Below are 19,973 nucleotides of genomic sequence, written 5' to 3' on the forward strand. Positions count from 1 at the left end.
CTTTGTAAGAGGGCTGAAATTGACCCTGGAGACGGAAAGCACAGGAAATATTTGCTGTGGTCGGTGGGAGAGGACGCTCCGCAGACAAAGCCGCCTGCTTCTCCCGTCAGGCCTGCCTCCTCTCTAGGCAAATATTGGAGGGATGACTTTTTTATTTGCAGAGAGGATTTGGCTAATTTTGTTTTATTTGTGTACCTTACATTCATGGAGCACTCTGCACAGTCTGTTGGATAATCTCTAATTATTCCTTTCCTCTTCACACCTGTGAGGCCGATGCTCAGCATATTTCAGAGGAAGCTGGCACCAGGGATGAGGGAATCTGCCCAAGCATGAGTCACCTGGAATATTAAACCAGAACCAACACACAAATGATCTGTGCAAAGAGGTCAGCAAAATAAAGGATTCACTGCAATTCATCCTTCTGTGGTCACTGCCGGGCTTTGGGCTCCCATCCCTTCCCGGCCCTCCCATTCCATATCCCTCTTCTGTATTTGCAGGCAGCACCATTGAAGTGTGTTTGACAGACAGAACTACTGTTTTGAATCAACCCTCTGAGATGTCTAAATCAGCCTGTCAGACTTTGCTCCCTCTATCACGTTTCCCAAGAAGAGGATCAGAGATAAAGAGAAATATGGAAATTTGGAGTAAAAGGTGAGTCTAGAGAACAAGAAAAAAAAAATGTGCCTTCAGAGACTACAACAAAGGAACCCAACAAAATATAGGACAATCTGGTTACTATGTTGAAGTCACAAATGTGAAGAAAATAATATACCAAAACGTTTCAGAAAAATCCAACTACTATAGCCAAGCGAATGACACATTAGTGACATAATGAACAATTAGAATTAAAACTTTTTAAAGTGTCGTAAAAATATTTCTTTATTGTTTAAAAATGAGATTTCAAAATGTTTCCAAACCTCATCAGTGAAGGACATACCTACATTTCTAACCCAGATGAGGTTTTTGAAATGTGGAATATAGAAGCAGTCCCTTTAAAAAGAAAAAGAATGCCTTTCATGCTGGATTTGTACAATTTCCATATGTTTTAGTAATCAAGAAGTACAGAATCCCTTGAAATGTGCAGAGATTCAAGGCTAGAGCCAACATAGCATTCAGAGTCTTAAATAAACATATAATGTTTGGGAAAGCAATATTCTGGATGTTAATTTTCAATCTCTAGGTATACCTGTCAGTCTTTAAGATGGAAACTTCTGCTTGTCAGAGTTTGAGGCCTCTGTGAACTTGCAGGGGGTGAGTCCTGGCTTGGCCCACTCACCGATCCCCAAACACTGGCGAGGAAGAAACTGAAACAGCTGTAACCACTCACTTAAATATACCATGGCATTCGTACAAATGATCGTCGACTTTGAACCCAAGAGCTGGGGTCCAATAGGAAGACAACTCCAAATCAGGCCTTAAAAACCTGGTTTCAGAATACACATTGCTGCCTTGCCTTTGTGGGTTTGTTTATTCGGCAATTGCATGTTAAGGAAGTGGGAGTAGAAATCACTTATTTGGACACTTATTAAGCTGGTCAAATTCTCCTAATTCTAGAATCTGAAGTACAGCATCTGTGGAAAAATACAGGGGATGAGATTATAGAGACAGAAACCAGCCTGTATAATGCTAAGACTTTCTGTCTGGGGGTGCTAGACATGTGAGCCCACCACCCTCCCCAGCTAGGTTCATTTTTTTTTTTTTTTTTTTTTTTTTTTTCTGAAAATTGCTCAGTTTCCAGCTTAGAAAAGATTGGACATAACATGGAACCTTAGATCTTTAGCCAATAACCATGTTTATAGGTGCTGAGGACCTGAGATCCTGCCTAGTTAGAAGCAGATCTCAAGCACTCACGATGGCCATCAGGGATGAGGTGGTCCAGCTTGATTCTCTTCTGGAAACCACAGACATAAATAGTATAATCTAAACACTAACATACCATGAATCATGGTTTATATTTTTAAATATTATTTGCAAAAATATAAAATTGAAGTAAATTAGTTGCCCCATTGGTGAGCAAGGCTGTCTTAGAGCAGGCACGCAAGATTTCTAAGTGGACTATTTCAGGCCATGACAACCTTGCCCTTGAACATGGTCAGAAAGCCCAGGCTGTGCTTTTCATAAATAAGATTCATGTTCTTTATTCTGGAACCTAGCACTGTGCCTGGCCCAAAGCTGGTATTCAATAGCTATTCATGCAGCTAAATTGGGGAGCTTCTTAGCTGGTCTAACTTGTTCACCGTTCATTCTGTACTTTGCTACGATGTTAATCAGCCTGATACACTACATACAAGAAGGATGTGAACCCAATCGAGCCCCAAAGCCCTTGTTTCAGGCCTTAGAACCTACTGTTCTTTCTTATGTATCCCTTCATGAATTCTACAATGGCCTTCTGAGAATCTTCTATGCACCTATAGTAGCACCTACTGTATTACTTTTTATAGTGTAATTGTGTCTCTTTTTTTTTTTTTTTTTTTTTTTGAGACAGAGTTTTGCTGTTTCTGCCCAGGCTGGAGTGCAATGGTGCGATCTCGGCTCACTGCAACTTCCGCCTCCTGGGTTTAAGCAATTCTCCTGCCTCATCCTCCTGAGTACCTGGGACTACAGGCATGCGCCATCACTCCCAGCTAATTTTGTATTTTTAGTAGAGATGGGATTTCACTATGTTGGCCAGGCTGGTTTCGAACTCCTTACCTCAGGTGGTCCGCCTGCCTCGGCCTCCCAAAGTGCTGGGATTACAGGCATGAGCCACCCCCACCGGCCCATAATTGTGTCTTAAATATCCCCCCCAAGATATATTTTTTAAAATATCTTGTTTTGCCTTCCTGACTTTCTAAGCTGCGTGCCTTGCACTTGAGGCTGTGTCTGTTTACACCAGGAGAACGCTGCTTTCTTCACCCGAATCCAGGCCGGTTCAGTGGCTGCTGGGGCCACCTGCATTTTCTGCTTATTCCCTGTCTACTTTAGATCCACAAAATGCTCCTTCACCACATGCAGTAGCACCCAAGAAAGCAGTGCCTGCTAGACTATTAAGCTGATGACTGCAACAGTGCAGGGGGCACTCATGAGGTGAGGGACAGAGCTGGGGGGCAGCGGGAACCATTTCACCCAACTCGACGGCTCCTCTCACCCACAGGTCGACCCAGATTCCTGTCTCAGTTCCTAGCCTTTCAAAGGATAGTTTTGGGGTAAAAGTAGTATTTTTATATACATATATAGTAAAAATATAAAGAAATGCCAGGAAGGACCAAGATCAAAGTCAAGATGGGTACTTTCCTCCCATCATCTGTGACAACATGGATGAACCTTGAAGACATTGTGCTGAGCGAAGCAAACCAGGCACACGTAGACAGGCACCACATGATCTCACATGGGCGAGCTGAAAGGGTTAAACTTATAGCCGTAGAGATAGAATGGTGGCTCCCAGGGCCTGGGGGCTTGGGAGATGTAGGTCAAAAGATACAAAGTTTCAGTTAGACAGGAGGCACGAGTTCAAGAGCTGGGTTGTACAACATGGAGACTACGGTTAATAACAATGTATTATATACTTGAAAATTGCCAAGCGAGTATCTACTTGCTTTTGTGATGTGTTCTCATCACAAAACAGTGAGCTAATTCATATGTTAATTAGCTGGATGTAGCCATTCCCCAATGTATACAGATTTCAAAACTCATGTTGTACACCATAAGTATCTACAATACTTATTTGTCCGTTTAGATATTAATTAATTAATGAACTAAAGGAAACAACTCGGGGAAATAAGCAGAACCAAGGCCTTCATCTTGTTTTGGAACAGCACATGCACTGTGTAAATTGAAGAATATGCAAAAACAGGCTGGGAGCAGTGGCTCACGCCTGTAATCCCAGCACTTTGGGAGGCCGAGACGGGTGGATCTTTTGAGGTCAGGAGTTCAAGACCAGCCTGGCCAACATGGCGAAACCCCATCTCTACTAAAAATACAAAAAATACCCAGGCGGTAGTGGCATGTGCCTGTAATCCCAGATACTTGAGAGGCCGAGGTAGGAGAATCGCTTGATCCCGGGAGGCGGAGGTTGCGGTGAGCCGAAATCGCACCACTGCACTCCAGTCTGGGCAACAGAGTGAGACCTGTCTGAAAAGGAAAAATAAATAAATAAATAAATAAATAAGAATATGCAAAAACATATTAATTTGATATTTAAATAAATAAATAATATTTTAAAAAGAAAAAGACGGGTGCTTTCCTGGAGAGAGAGAGAGAAGAGAGGAAGACATATGATCTAACGGGTTGGCAATGATTCAATTTTTAAATTATTGGTAGGTACACACGCATGTGCTGTATTACTCTTTGTAATTACAAATATGTAATGTATCTCATATTTGTGCCTTAAATATACACCCAAGCTGTATTTTTTAAAAGACCTTATTTTACCTTCCGGACTTTCTAGACTGCGTGTCCTGCACTTGTGGCTGTGTCTGTTTGCACCAGGAGGACGCTGCTTTCTTTGCCCGAATCCAGGCCGGCTCAGCGGCTGCTGGGGTCACCTGCATTTTCTGCTTATGCCCTGTCTACTTTGGATCCACAAAATACTCCTTCACCACATGCAGAGAAACAACAGCTCCAGTACCTTCCACTTCCGTCTGACCTTGTCTAGGAATATTTTCTTACAGCCCTGCACCTTGTTTCTTAAAGGGCCCATGCACTTTAACCATTTATGTTCCCAAACCTCACGAAACACTTTTTAGAAAACTTGTGCCTGGGTCAGGCTTCCTACTGAAAAGCCTTCTCCTGTTCAGACAGAAATCTGCTCTGTACTGTGTCTTATTTTTGTTTCGTGTCTGTTTTTGGTGATGGGGAGGATGATAGTTAATCTGCCTTTACGTGGAAGTCCTCCAATTCTTGATTACTATCCAGACTATTTTCATCTCTGTACCTTTCTTGAGGTGTAGCAAAACTCCTACTTGGCATCCACAATGATCAAAGAGAAACGTGCAGGGAGGTTAGGCCTTACTGCTCCATCTCCAGCAATTCCTTATCCTTTGCAGCTTTAGTGTCACATGAGGCTGATAACTTTAGGGGCTGGTCTATAAGGTTTTTTATTTTTCCTCTTAACCCATCAGGAAGAGCAGCTACAACTCGAGCAGACATTGAGATCTCATTTCGATTGTTTTTCTTTGCACAGAATACTTTCACCACCTTGGACATTGTCTCCTGCCTTTCTGGACATCCACACAGCCCTGTGATATGCCTTGGAGCTGAGTTTTACCTCTTTGTGTGATATTTCTTTCCTGGGAAAGGCTCACACCACCTTGGAGCTTTGCAATTTCGGCTTGTAGGTCCTCACTTATAAATCCATTCACTCCCAGAGTCTACATTGAAATGATTTCTTTTGCTGTGTCTCCACTGCTGGCTGTAGCCCCTTGAAGGAGGGAGCTGGCTTTACCATGCCTGGCCTTGCATAAAGTGCAACCTGATGCTTAATACATACTGACTAGGTAAGCACAACCACTTCCAGAGCTAATTCCAGCCTTTTCTCCTGCTCCCTGATAACTCTACCTTCATACCAGGACAGCATTCTCAGAAATCATTTTAACCACGAAGACTTTTGTTCAAATGAAACAGAATAAGTATAAACTAGAAAAAGTGCAAATATATAGACAACTGTTATTTTTTCTAAGTAATCACCCAAACCCTCACCTCATCTATTAACCAAAAACTCCAGTGTGTTTCATATGAAGCCTCCCTTCCGAAAGAAAATAATCACAAACAACAACAACAACAACAACAACAACAACATATCTTCTAGGACCCCAGGGGTGACTGCCCAGAGTCTCAGCCTGGCTACCTGCTGGGCCCCTGCATGGCTGCTGCAGCTGGACTTTGGAGAGCACAGTGGACCTTCCCCACTGCTGCCAGGAGCCTTCCCAGGGATGAATTCCTCCTCTGACGAACAAGGATTTTGAGACAAGAGAGATCCCCTTGGCCAAGGATGCCCCAACCAGGGCTCACAAGGCCGCTGTTCTGAGTGTTCCACTTGGTTCCCAACCCCAGCTGGCCCCAACAGGTACCATGGAGCCTCCCAACCACCATCCTTCCCTCCCTGGGCTCCACCCCAACCTCAGGCAGCTTTTCCTTTTACACCTACAAAACACAAAGAGCCTAGCTGCCCTCATCCCCTTCCTTAGACCACGGCACTCCCCTCCCACCCTCCCAAGGGTAGCCCCTCTTTGTCTCTCTTCTGGGTGAGATTGCCTTCCTGAATCCGTGGTGACCGAGGAAAGGAAACATCTCACAAGCTGTTCACAAGGCCACCTCAGTGCCCCAGAAAGCCTGACAAGCACAGATAAATTAAAGCCATCCTTCTGGGGGTAACAGAGGGGACTCCTGTCCTGCCCTGGTCCCAGGGCTTCCCAGAGCAGTCTGTGAATCACTGCCTATGTGGCGCTTATGCTTCCTGAGCCATTGACTCCTCCATCCCAAGGGTCTTTGGAGACTCCATCTCATCCTCAGGTACCAGTCTTTGGAGTTCTTTCTTGCCACAGGCAAGAGAATTTGGGGTCATTTGATTTGCTCAGATGGTGCCATGGTAAAGAGGACAACTCCAGGCAGCTTCATGTCTCCTCTGCTGACGGGCAGATTGTGTCCTGGCAGGAGATCATCTGCTGTGTTTGCTACCCAGGAGGCTCCCACACTTCACCATCAGAACAGCGCCCCTGGCTTAGGATTCTTGGCACCCTAGGGGTCAGCCCTTTTGTGTCTGTTTTTGCTCCTCTACGGTAATCTTTTCATGCAGCCTCGAGTTAACAGCACTTGTTTCCTTACCTGTCTCCATCCCAAGGCGGTGGACCTCTTTGAGGACTGGAGCATTTTCCTCACTAGTTCATTCAATAAGCATTGGTTTCTGTATGCCAGACACCCGCCGTTCTGGGTCCTGAATCTCGTCTTTGGATACCTAGAGCATTACACATTGAGACCTCGGTCCTGCCAAAAGCCAAAATAGTCTAATAAGGCCCACTGCATGGGGTAGTTGTCAGGGCTGACTTAATACAAAAGAGGGATTTAGAATAGCACCTGTGTTGACACTGCCCATGAGTCAGCAGTCACAATGAGCACAGTGTGGATGACGTATGGAAAGAAAGGGACGGCTCATGTAGAGGGTGCTGTGGTGCTGCACCCAGGCCCCTCGGATGGGGCACTGCATTTTCCTGGAGCTGGGGTTGCAGTGGTATGGGAGATTGGCTGCTGGCTGCTCACAGCTACATTCTCTTCTAGGAACTGACCTTGGCCAAAGGAATCTGCCTTGCCCAAGGTCATGCCTCCTTCCTGGGAACAGTTGGTACCCTGAGAACGGTCAGTGCCAGTGTGCAAAATCCAGGCCCCTTCATTCAGGATGTCTCTAAAGGGCATCCTGGCCCAGCACTCCCTGTGGGATGGGCTGAGGCCTCTGCTGCAGCCACGTTGCAGCTCAACTTCTCCCTCCGCTGAATGCCACCTTCATTTCCCACAGCACTGTTCCCCAGTGCACTCCCCCAGACCTCCTCAAGAGACTCAGGGACTATTTCCAAGGACCCTGACCTATGACAATGACTCAGTGTACACACCCTATACCCAAGCCCCATCGTGGTCATTGCCACATCCTCCACAACCCAAGAAATTAGACAAAACAGGTAAAATTCGACTTCTCTCTGGCCAACAAGACCACGTTAAAATAAAACACACTTGAATTGAATTTGGAGTTATTTGAAATTAGAGCTAGCTAAAGGTATCTGGACTGAGATGGTTAGAGAGGGCAGGTTGAAGACAGATGTTTTCTCTCCTCTCCTTCTAGAAACCCCAATAAAATAACAGGGAAGGAACACACAATATGTAAACAGGCAATCAATGAGAAGAATCACTAGCAGAAAAGATCTTTCAACAAAACCCTTGGAGAAGGAAAGCAGAGATGGTGAGGCATGAAAGCTGCAGGACGGCCTGTTTGCCAAAGGTCTGGGGGCGATGGGGGCCCGTGAACCCTGAAGACTCTAGAGGGAGGTTGGGGCAGGGACTGCAGACAGACAGAGTGACAGGTATGATGGGTCTGTTGGAAACTTTTTCTTTACAGGTTTTCCAGACCTATTTAACTTTTAAAGCCATTTGCTTGTACTCCACAGCTTAATAACAATTGAAAAGCATTTTAAATAGGAAAAGATAATTTTGAAGAGAATCAAATAAAGTCTCAAACAAAAGCCATAGGAAAGAATTGCAGTGAAGGGGGGTGAGGTAAGAGTTTTCTGGACCTTTGATCTTTCTCTCACCTCCTGTGGGGATTCCTAGACAGCTCTGTGGAGACCCCAGGGATAAAAGTTTGAAAACCACAGTGCAAAGCAAAGGACTAGAGAATTCATCTTCTTGGAAGCAGCTGTGTCCCCTTTGGAAAGCGTGGGTTATATTCCCCAGCACTCGGTTGGGCGTTGTACATGGAATTAGCTGGACTGTCATTTCAGTGGCTCTCAAATCTCTTTCTTATCAGAAACCAGAGGCATTAGGGCTTCAATGAAACAGAAAGGGACATCCTAAAACAGCTTATGGACGTGGAGAGCCCTGAGAGCCTTGTGGGGTTTGTCACATTCATGAGCATTCTTCAGCACCGGGGAAAGGGGTCTAGATGACTTAGGAAGGCAAAGGCCCTGGGAATGCTTCAGAAGGGGGGCTCTTGGCAGGGTTCTCATTCTAGGCCTCCCACCACCTGTGCGGGGCTGCCACAGAGAAGGTGCAGGTAGAAGTATAATGCGGAAGGAAGACATTTTAAAGAAGAGGTCTCAATGGTGATAAGGGGCAGAAGTGAGTTAGTGTGCACCAAAGTATGAATGATCTGGAATGATTTGGAACATACTCTGTCCAGGCAATTGAGGAGCTGCGAGAATGTCTGTGTTTCACCCAGGAGAGCCTGTGGGAAAGCAGGTGGCACTCCCATCTAGGGTGCCGTCGCCTGCATCCAGGCCGGGGTGCAGAGAGGTTGCTTGAGTGGAAAAGTGAGAGTAGAGACGCTGTAAGATTAAGGGAGCAGAGAAGTCCATTCCCTTAGTTAATGGCATTCCAAGCAACCATCATGCACGGCTTTCTCATAGCATTGTTCTAAAGACACTATAAAGGTTTGGCGAAACAGGCTAAAAATGGCCATTTATGGTCAGGAGAAATCAAGGCTCCAGGCTCCAGTGGTGGTGACCGTCCAGGTTCTGCTGATAGTTCGTGCCTCCCTGCCTCTGTCTTATACTGGGCTTTCACACTGTGGATTTCATTCAGGCTTCATGCACCCAGCGAGGTCGGCCCAGCAGGTGGGCTCGTGTTGCAGGGATGCAGGCAGAGATTCCGGGACCTGGAGGGCTTTGCTAGTCAATGGCAGCAGCAGATGTTGAAGCCAAGGTCTCTTCTGCTGCTGCCAGGTCCCAGTGCCACATTCTCCAGTAGGGAACACACCTCAGGCCTGGGGGGGTGCATCCCTACCCACCACCCCCAAGTTGCCAATGATGCACGTGCTTACCTGGCCTTATGCAGTCCTTCCGCCACAAGCTGCCTGTCTTCCACCTGCTTAATCTCCACCTCCTGCCACAAGCTCTGCCCCCAGCCCGGGCTCCCACTTCCCCCTATTTTTCGATTGTCTACCTCTTTGCCTGACCCCAGCACTGACCTTATCAAAACTTACCTATTCTCTGTCCTTTTCTTTTCATTACTGTTTCCAAAGGTCTCAGCCAGGTCATAGGATGAACTAAAATGTGTGAAACCCCTCCAGGAAAGATGTATTTGTTCTGACTGTATTTTATGTGGACGATGGCTTAGCCCAGGGCAAAAGCCTCATAGTGGCAGAAGACACTTGAGCAATGAGATGTTCCCTGTGCTTCCTTGGTTTGTTTCCTCAGGAATGTTCAGAGATAGCTTCCTGGAGGGTTACTCTTATGTGTCTGTCTATGGTTTGGAGCTTGCTGAAACCTAGGTTTATCCTGAAAACTGCAGAGAGCTAGCTGTGGTGAACATTCTTGTTTAAGTCCTGGAACAATTTGTTCTACTACATGGTTACCAGCATCTTCGTGGCTTTTTTTTTTTTTTTTTTTTGGATGGGGGGTTGCGGGGGAGCAGGTCTGATTTGAGTTACTGGCAGAGTTGTTAGAGGTCAGGATACATGGATGGTTCCTTCAGCCTCTGCACTCCCATTCATCCTCATCCAGCTGTCAGATCCCCATAATTTCCACATTGTCTTCCTAGATGCTCAGCATTTCATTAAAGTAGCCAATCACAGCATGCTCCATCTTCCTCAGGAGCTGGAGCATGAACGCATTAAAAGCCATCACTCTGAATATTCCACGCTACAGACTTTGTGTAATAAATACAGTGTGGAATGCAGGTGGGAATTTCCTGACTGTGTGCTGGCATACTCCGTGGTCTCGCTGTCCCTGCGCACACTTTCCCAGGCCTGGTCCCTCCATTTCTTGAAGTAAAGCACAGCCCTTTGCTCCATCGTCAGGGGCAGCAGCTGGGTCTTCCCCTCAGTGAGGCATACCTTAATCTGCAGACATCAAGAGGCGTACAGAACCCCAGTGCTGGGAAGACCTTGGATCTGTGCTCAAGATCACACAGTCGAAACGGAGACATGGAGAAGATCCCAGTTCTGGTGTGTCAGAGGACTTCTCCGGCTCCTGGAAACCCATGGTTGTCAGGACCCATCACTGGAAATCTTTTTAAAAAATTAATTCACTTGTGATTCAAGTTCCTAATATTCTCCATTTGACTGTGTTCTGGGTCAGTGGTTCTCAGCCTTGACTGCCTACTAGAATTACCTGGCGTTCTTTTTAAAACTCTGAATGTCTTAGCCCCATTTCAGCACCAGCTGGGAACTTGTGGAAATGCAGACTCTCAGGCCCTACCTTAGAACTCCTGAATCAGAGGCTCTGATAGGGTCCAACAATCTGTGTTTTCACAAGCCCTCCAGATGATTCTAACACCCACTCAGGTTTCAGAACCTACCCCCACCTCAGAACAATCGATTCAGAGTATCTGGGGTGGGGAGTTAAAAGCTCCCCAGCTGATCCTCAAGTTCAGTGAAGGCTGAGCTGGGGATAACCCTGCCTGGAAAGAAGGAGCTACTGGAAGTCAGAGAAAGGGGAATCATCAGGTGTGAGAGATGGGAAAGGGAGAAATGGGAGGAAGCAGAGGAAATCAGTAAGTTGTTTTAAAAACTACTTGGGATTTTGTTTCAATCACATATAGTAAAACATGACAGACATGGAGGAAACGTCCTTGAAAGAAGAGTTTATTACAGTTCCCTAGAGCAGGGGGCAGGGCATACCATGGGGTCACAGGAGGAAGCACTGGAGTCAGGGAGCAGAAGGGGTAAGGAGAAGCAAGGGGCAGAATCTTTCTTGTGGTTTTCATGGGAAGGAATGGATAAGGCAGGGTAGGTATGCCAAGCAAGCTTAGAATTGCAGGTCTGAACAATTTCAGCACACCCTGAGCCATAGGGATAGGCTCTAGGTGTCTGGTATCTGACCATGGGGTGATCTGGGGGAAGGGGGGAATATGGGCTCTGGATTGGTTGATTTGCACACCAAAGTTATGCTGGGCGCAAGTTGGTTGTTGTTGCTGGGAATTAGCTAACCCTGAGAGGGATAGTTCTTCCAAGCTCCACAAAGCCCCAAGATATAAGAGTATAAAACATAAAATTAAAAAAAAAAACATGATTAATACAGAATTTAAGTCACTCAGATCCAGGTTTGCCTCTCAGTCCTGCTACTTACCAGCCATTCAAACTTGACTTCTTCCTCTCTAAAATGGGGATAATAGCACCTACATAATTTCTACATAGGGTTTATAGAAATTATACGAGATGATGGACCACAATGTCTGGCTCAACTGACAAATGTTTAATAGATGTGATGATAATAAAAATGCACAACAGAACACTGGACTTGGAACCTGAAATAAGAAGCCATGAGTCAAATACAGCTTACACTTTGGAGCTTAAGAAAATCATAGCCGGGCATGGTGTCTCATGCCTATAATCCCAGCACTTTGGGAGGCTGAGGCAGACAGATCACTTGAGGTCAGGAGCTCGAGACCAGCATGGCCAACATGGTGAAACCCAGTCTCTACTAAAAATACAAAAATTAGCTGGGCATGGTGGCGTGTGCCTGTAATCCCTGCTACTTGGGAGGCTGAGACAGGAGAATCACTTGAACCTGGGAGGCACAGTTTGCAATGAACCAAGATTGCGCCACTGCACTCCAGCCTGGGCGACAGAATGGGACTCTTTCTCAGCTAAAGAAAAAAAGAAAATCTTGGCCTGGCATGGTGGCTCATGCCTGTAATCCCAGCACTTTGGGAGGCTCTGGTGGGTGGATCACCTGAGGTCAGGAGTTTGAGACCAGCCTGGCCAACATGATGAAACCCTGTCACTACTAAATATACAAAAATTAGCAGGGCGTGATGGAACATTCCTGTAATCGTAGCTACTCAGGAGGCTGAGACAGGGATTGTTGCTTGAACCCAAGAGGCAGAGGTTGCAGTGAGCCAAGATCAAGCCACTACACTCCAGCCTGGGTGACAGAATGAGACTCTGTCTCAAAAAACAAAAAACAAAGAAAGAAAGAAAGAAAAAAGAAAGAAAGAAAAAGAAAGAAAGAAAGAAAAAATCCATAGAGCAACTGACAAACAAGTGGCAGACAAGAAGTGGTGGACGAATGGACATGGAGAGCAGGCTACTCTGAGAGAGAAGGTACATTCATAACAGTGAAAGTCACACCTGAGGCCTCATCAGGGAATGGGGAGAAAGAGATCTTAGGGTGGGGGAGGTCAACAGTGCCCGAGAGGTGATAGTTGAATCATAGGGCTTATAATAAGAGATGCAAAACAGTGGCGTTTCAGGAAGGTCAAGACAAAAGTCCCTAGAGAAATCAAGGAGAGCCACATCTTCATCCAAGCAGGTCATATCACTTTGTTCTCTGAGCACCTTTGGAAGAAGACAAAGATGATCCTTTCCTCCTTCTTCTCAACCCACCTGGCTGATCTGTTCAAGTTGGAGACCATCTTTTGGGTCTCTGTATTTATAGGACCAACATGATCCTTAACCCAGTAAATAATTTTTTAATGTAATGAGACTGAAACTTGGGGATAATTTAGGCATCATTCTGTTTAGAGAAGTGCTTTAACTTTGAGGGTGATATTGGAGAAAGCTTTTATCCTCTTTCATTTTTAGGCTGTGTGCATGTGTGTGTGTGTGTGCAATAGAAGCCATGGGGTGAAATACATGAGGCAGAAGGCACTGAGCCCGTCCTTCCTGAAAGACAGTCCAGCAGAGCCTGCAGCCCAAGTTCTGGAACTAGTGTGCTATCTAATTGACCATGTGACCCGTTGCATGTTCCCTATTCCATCTTTATGTTGGTATCTTCTTTAAAAACAATTTTGGAATAGATACACTAAACTTATACTTCTTGGGCTTGGTGATTGAGCACTGAAATTTTCTGGGGCCATAGCTATCTTTTAAAAATATTATTATTGAACAGATGTTATGAATTTCATTTTGGAGGAGTGTATTCATCCCTATGGCTACTATAATAAATTACCACAAATGTAGTGGCTTAGAACAACACAAATTTACCATCCTATAGTTCTGGGGGTCGGAAGTCTGATATGAGTTTCAGCTGGCTACAATCCAGGTCTTGGCTGTTCCTTCTGGAGGCTCTAGGGGAGAATCTGTTTCCCCTCCTTTTCCAGCTTCTAGAGGTTGCCTGCATTCCTTGGCTCATGGTCCCTTCCTGCATCTTCAAAGCCAGCAACACCTGGCTGAGCCCTCCTCCTGCTGCCACCTCTCTGGCTCTGTACTTCCCTCATCACATCTCTCTCTAACCCCCCTGCCTCCTTCTTGTCCCTTATAAAGATTCTTGTGATATTTTGGGCCCAAGCAGGATTATCTCCAGTGTCGTTAACGTAATTATATCTGCAAAGTCCCGTATGCCATGTAAGGAACATACTCACAGGTTTTGGGAATCAGAATGTGGACATTTGTGGGGGTGGGAGTAAAGAGGGCATGATTCTGCCTACCCACCATGAGAAAGAGATGAACACACACACAGGCACAGGCTTGTGGGGGGAGCCTGGACTTTTCTCAAGATATGCAGAGAGATGCAAAGACAGCGTCTGCAGGATTCCTGCCTGATGGAATGTGGGTGCAGTTGCTTTCTTACTGGCAGCTGGCTCTGGTTCCTCACTAGGTGGATGGTTAGGGGAAGGAAAACACAAGAGCAGTCACTGAGATGGAAATGTGGTCATTTGGGTTTATGTGCTTCTGTGAGCAGAGGAGGAGAAGTTTCTCTGAGTTTGGACAATCTTCCATCTCTCTTATTAATCTGTGAAAGTCAAGAAAAGTCATTAGCTCAAGAATGCTCCTCATCCAATGCTCAACCTGTATATCCAGTCAAAAGATCATAGATCGAAAGCACTGGAACCTCCTCCAAAATGGTGGCCCCAGCCCCACAGCCTTATTTGGGAAAACTGAGGCTGAGAGAGGTGCCATAAACTACCCAGAGCTGGAAATGCCTGCCTTGAGTGGGCTTAAGCTGGAATGGAAAGCTTACAGAATTTAAGACTAGTGGATGGAGACTTTTGTAGAGAGAGACACAGTAGAAGTAACTGTTTTAGTTAGAAACATCTAGGCAGAATGAGAAGAAATAAAATCCCATTTTCAGGTCATTAGTTTTTTGTTTTATTGCAATGTGCTGTGTGTTCCAGGAAGATGGTGTCAGCAGGCCATCTGTAGGGCATGCAGGTGATCTTCCTGAGAGAGTGCTGGACGTGCCAGTGCAACCTTGTTTAACCCTCCTCGTTCCCAAAGGACCCTGCCTAAGAGACCACAGGCCACGGTTACACACACTCCACGCGGTGCCAAGTGAGCCACTGACAGAAGGAGAAAGAAACCACCCAGTGATGTCTGCCAAGCTCAGACACTTCCCCTCCAGCGCAGCGTCCTCTCCCCCGAGACTGTGCTCCCAAACCACTACTGTTCAACAAGCTTTCCCTTGAGTTAAACGTTACCTAAACGTTAAGCACAGTTAATGTTTATGACCTCCGAGTTGGAAAAATTAGAACTGACTACTACTATCTGTTGAAGGAGGTGGGCACTCAGTCACTGGGGATGGGGAAGAAGTGCTGAAATCTGGAAAATGGAAGTCCGGGAAACTCATTTCCTGAAGGTCTTGTATCTGCGAGGCACCGTGCTTTGCACATTCATTGAGTCTTTTCAACAACCTTATATTCCCAGGTATTGTTATCTCATGCAGAGAAGACTGAGGCTCACGGGATGGGGGCCAGCACTCACTCCTGGCCAGCCTATGTGGGGAGTGAAGTTGGGATGTAAGTCTGCTCAGACAGCACCTGTAATTCCTAAGTCCAAAATATTCCTCAGGTCTCGCTCTGGGACTGGGCACTGAAGGCAGCTGAGCAGAGGTTCACGGGCTCATGGCCTAATAGCTGTCACAGAACAGGCCTGCTTGTTTTGGAACTCTGAAAAGTCTCTTTTGTAGAAAATGCAAAATGAACCCGATTCGCATACACACAGTGTGTGGTGTAAGTAAGCCCCTTCTGCTATTTGAATGTTATTCAAATAAAGGATTACAAATCATCTCGCAGCTTACATTACCATTTCCAAATGCAAAAACAAAAAAGGATCCAGTGTTTAGAACAGGGGATTTGCTACTGGCCCATGAAAAACAAAGACATTGTTTTCATTTTGAAATAATAGAAACTCAGGTGTGGAATGCACTGAAGAGAACATTCTAGACTAATCCCTTCTCTTTCCCCAACCTCCTACCTACACAAAAGCACAAATCCCTTCCAAAACATCTCTGACAAGTGACCTCAAACTCCTTCAGTGGTGAGAATAGCCCTCTCCTGGGCAGCCACCTCCGTTTGGTGTGATGGTGGATAAGCCCACAATTCATATTTTAACAATGTAGAAAGAAGCAAAGCTGGTGGGTTTGATCCTCTCTTTCCTCTTCTCTGCCTACCCCACGGGAAAGGAGACCTGTATTATTTTCCTGTTGCTGCTGTAACAAATTAATGCAAACTTACAGCATTAAATCTACACAAATGTACTTTCTTACAGTTCTGGAGGTCAAAAGTCTGAAATGGGTCTAATGAGGCTAAAATCAAAGCATCAACAGAGCCGTGTTCCCTCTGGAGGCTCTCGGGAAGAGTATTTTCTCGCTTTTCCAGCTTCTAGAGACCACCTGCTTTTCTTGGCTCATGGTACCTTCCTCTGTCTTCAAAGCTGGCAGCACAGCATCTTCAAACCCCTCTGACTCTCAGCCCTCCCTATTTCATTATAAAGACCCTTGGGATCACATTGAGTCCTCTCAGATAATCCAAGATAATCTCTCCATTTCAAAATCCTTAACTACATCTGCAAAGTCCCTTTTGCCATATAAAGTTACATATTCACAGTTTCCAGATATTAGGACACGGATGTCTTTGGGAGCCATTAAACCTCTTTTCTTTATAAATTACCTCGTCTTGGTTTTAAAGGCAAGTTGATGCAACACCAGGTGGAACCCTCCTAGGAGCTGAGGAAATACAGGGCAGGCTTGCAGTGGTAGAGGAAGAAGTAGATGCGACACCCCAGTATCCTGGGAAGAGCCAGGAGATGCTGGATGTTCCACGATGCTGGTAGAAAGGAACCCGTAGGCTGAGGACTCTCAATCTAATCCCAAAGAGTCCTATTCCAAACTTGGCACAGAAGCAATACAGACTCCCTTCAAGGGATGCCAGAACTTAGACAATGAAGATATCAACAGGGCTCAACGTAGGCTGGAGAACAGGGAACTCTGCCAGAAAAAGCTCCAGGGCTTTTGCATGGCTCAGATGGTGATGAGGGAGCCCCATTGATGGCTGGAGTGGTTCTTCTCTGCATCCTAGCAACTGAGACTTGGGCACTGAGCATAGTGTTAGTATGATTCAGAAAGATTAAATAATGCAACATTTCTTTACCTGAGTGTAGAAATCCCTGATCTACAATTGTGCTTCATTAATGGTTCTACACTGTTAGAATTGCAGCTAAGAATCAGCCTCAGTGTTTTCTTCCAATGACAGCAGCAGAGGGGCAATTCAAGACCCACCTCCAACCCCACCTTCTCTAAATGTCTTCCCTACAACTCTAGCTACAGCAACACCTCCCTCCTCCCCTAGCATTTACTGACTCTCCTAGTATTTGGCATTTGGCTCACATGCCCTTGTGCTGTACTTCTATTGTGTGAGGACACACTCAATATCCTGCCTTCTCAATCTAACTGTAGACATTGAGAAGGGCAAGTGTACACGTTGTGCATCCCTGAGTCCCCTTTCAGTGCCTGTACTACCACTAGCATGGTAGATCCTAGAAAAAATGTTTATTCACAATGAAGATTCCAAGGAAGCCCAAGAGGATCACATCTGGAAAGTACAAACCTGTGCAATGGAAACAAGAGCACATGGAGTGATTTAGGATTTGTGGCTTTGGGCTTTGTGACGTTTGGTGTATAGTTTTTCCATTGGCTTAGATTCCCATATGCATTAGGTCATTCTTGCATGACTATAGAGAAATACCGAAGACTGGGTAATTTAAAAAGGAAAGAGGTTTAATTGGCTCACGGTTTTACAGGTTATACAGGAAGCATGGAGCCAACATCTACTTGGCTTCTGGGGAGGCCTCAGGGAGCTTGCAATCATTGGGGAAGGCAAAGGATCACATGACAAGAGCAGGAGCGAGAGGGAGTGAAAGGGAAGACCCTAGACTTTTAAACAACTGGATCTCACATGAGCTAACTGAGCAAGAACTCTTCACCAAGGGGATGGCGCCAAGCCATTGATGAAGGATCTGCCCCCATGATCCAGTACCTCCCACCAGACCCCACCTCCAATATTGGGTACACATTTCAACATGAGATTTGGAGGTGACAGACATCCAAACCATAATACCCACTACGCTCCATTCTCCATTTAACTCTTGGCCTGGATTACACAGTATGATCCCTCCTTCAAACCATCCCTTTCCCTTCTCCTCCACTCCCTGCTTCCAGTCACACAGAACTCCCTCATCTCTGACAATCCCAGCACCTTCTCACAACCCCACACCTTTTCCTACACCCTCTCTGGAAAACTCCTATGGACCATTCATGCAAGCCCCTCTTCCTGGGGAAGTCTGCAGCCCTTCCCCAGGTGGTCATCTCTCCTGACTCAGTAATCAGTCCTGCCCCAGTGCTTCTCAGACCTTAGAGCATGCAAATCCCCCAGGAGATCATCTTAAAATACAGAGCCTGATCCAGGCAGTCTGGGGCTGTGGGGATTCTGCCTTTGTAACAAGCTCGATGATGCTACTGGTTCAAGGCAAGCTCTGAGTCTACAAAATAAACAATGACTTAGTGCATTTTACTATCATTTGTTTGTATGTAAACTTCTACCAGAACAGATCCCCAAGGCAGAAACTTGGGTTTCCTGATTCATTCAACCAATATTTGTGAATGGAGGAGTGAATCTCTGGGTCTCCAATGTTTCGCTCAGTGCCTGAAACACAGCAGGTGTTCATTAGGTGTTTATTAAGTGGAGAATAGATGGACTCTGTAGAATTTTAGGAACAGCTGCCTTTAAAATAATTGGGTTAATTAATTCCATCATCACTTTTCAAATAAAAATATTTGGGAGTACACTTGCATGCTAGACTATCAACCCAGCTTTCCATTTCAACAAGAATAAAAATAAGACCAACTATTTAACTAAAGAAACAGGATATGTGGGGTTTTGCTATTCATTTTAATGAGAAGCAATAACAGAGGCCCTGCTTTCCTCTGCTGGAGTTAGGGCATTAGGAAAGATGACGATGGGACCCTTGCTTTCCAGAATCTTCTGTTCTCCACCAGCTGCTGCCTAATGCCCTTAGTGCCTCTGATAGCAACCTGAGGTCTGGCTCTCTGTGGCTGTTGAGGTTTAACTGTCAACAAATGAAGCTATAGGTGGTCTGATTGATTTGCATATTTCTATATCCTTTTCCACCAACAAGTATGTTATAGTTAAAAAAAAAAAAAAACAAATGCCAAGCATACACACTAAAAAGGGATGGAAATTTCCCACAATTTCATTTTGATAAAAGAAAAACTTCAGCTGAATTAAATGTAAAGAAGTTTAATTGAGCAATGAACGATTTGTGAATCGGGTAGCCCCCAGAATCACAGCAGATTCACAGACTCCAGCGCAGCCACGTGGTGGAAGAAGATTTATAGACAAAAAAAAGGCAAATAACATACAGAAATCGGAAGTGAGATATACAAGGACTGGATTGGTTAAAAGTTGGTGTTTGCCTGATTTGAACACAGTTTGAACACTCAGCAGTGTGTGAATGGTTGAAGTACGGCCGCTGGGATTGGCCAAGACTCAGCCGTTGTTACAGGCACATACTCCTAAGGTAGGTTTTCAATCTTGTCTACCTATTAAGCTACCTTGCAGTTTGTCCACAAGGACTCAAATATACAAGTACGGAGTCCTTCTTAGGCAATATTTAGTTCTCTTTAACAATTTGAAGACCACATTCTCTGGCCCTAAAATGTGTGGATAATAGGATCCTGCTTTTCTCACTTAGCTCCTCCCCAGTCCGTGAACAGAAAGTGCTACAGTTGGGAAGAAGGAGTGAAAATGAGACGCACTGGCTGAGGAATAAGTACAGCCCCCCTTCTCCCCACCCTTAGGATGCGCGTTAGTCCAGGTGCTTTGGTCAAAATCAGTAGAAACAATCTGGCCAACTTGAGCAGAAAAAGAATCGAATGGAAGACGGGAGGCAGCTGATAATCTGGGAGGAAGCTGAAAGGATGAGACTCAGAGCAGACGCTGGGATCTAGGGTGTGGGAACCAAAGGGCTGTCTCCTCCAGAGGCCGCTGCCTGGACGAATCACCCTCCACCATGCTTCATCCTGGCATCACTCAGCTCAAGACCCACATTCCCTGGC

At 45.5% G+C, this 19,973-nt stretch overlaps 1 long non-coding RNA gene across 1 annotated transcript; it reads left to right on the forward strand.

Moving 5' to 3' along the window:
• The first annotated feature begins 254 nt into the window (after positions 1-254).
• On the forward strand, positions 255-5,784 carry LOC107985929 (uncharacterized). Its single transcript, XR_001739626.2, has 3 exons — positions 255-385; positions 498-651; positions 5,162-5,784. It is a non-coding gene; the product is annotated as an uncharacterized LOC107985929 (long non-coding RNA).
• The last annotated feature ends 14,189 nt before the right edge of the window (positions 5,785-19,973 follow it).

The sequence above is a fragment of the Homo sapiens genome, chromosome 2, assembly GCF_000001405.40.
Source record: "Homo sapiens chromosome 2, GRCh38.p14 Primary Assembly".
Classification (NCBI taxonomy): domain Eukaryota; kingdom Metazoa; phylum Chordata; class Mammalia; order Primates; family Hominidae; genus Homo; species Homo sapiens.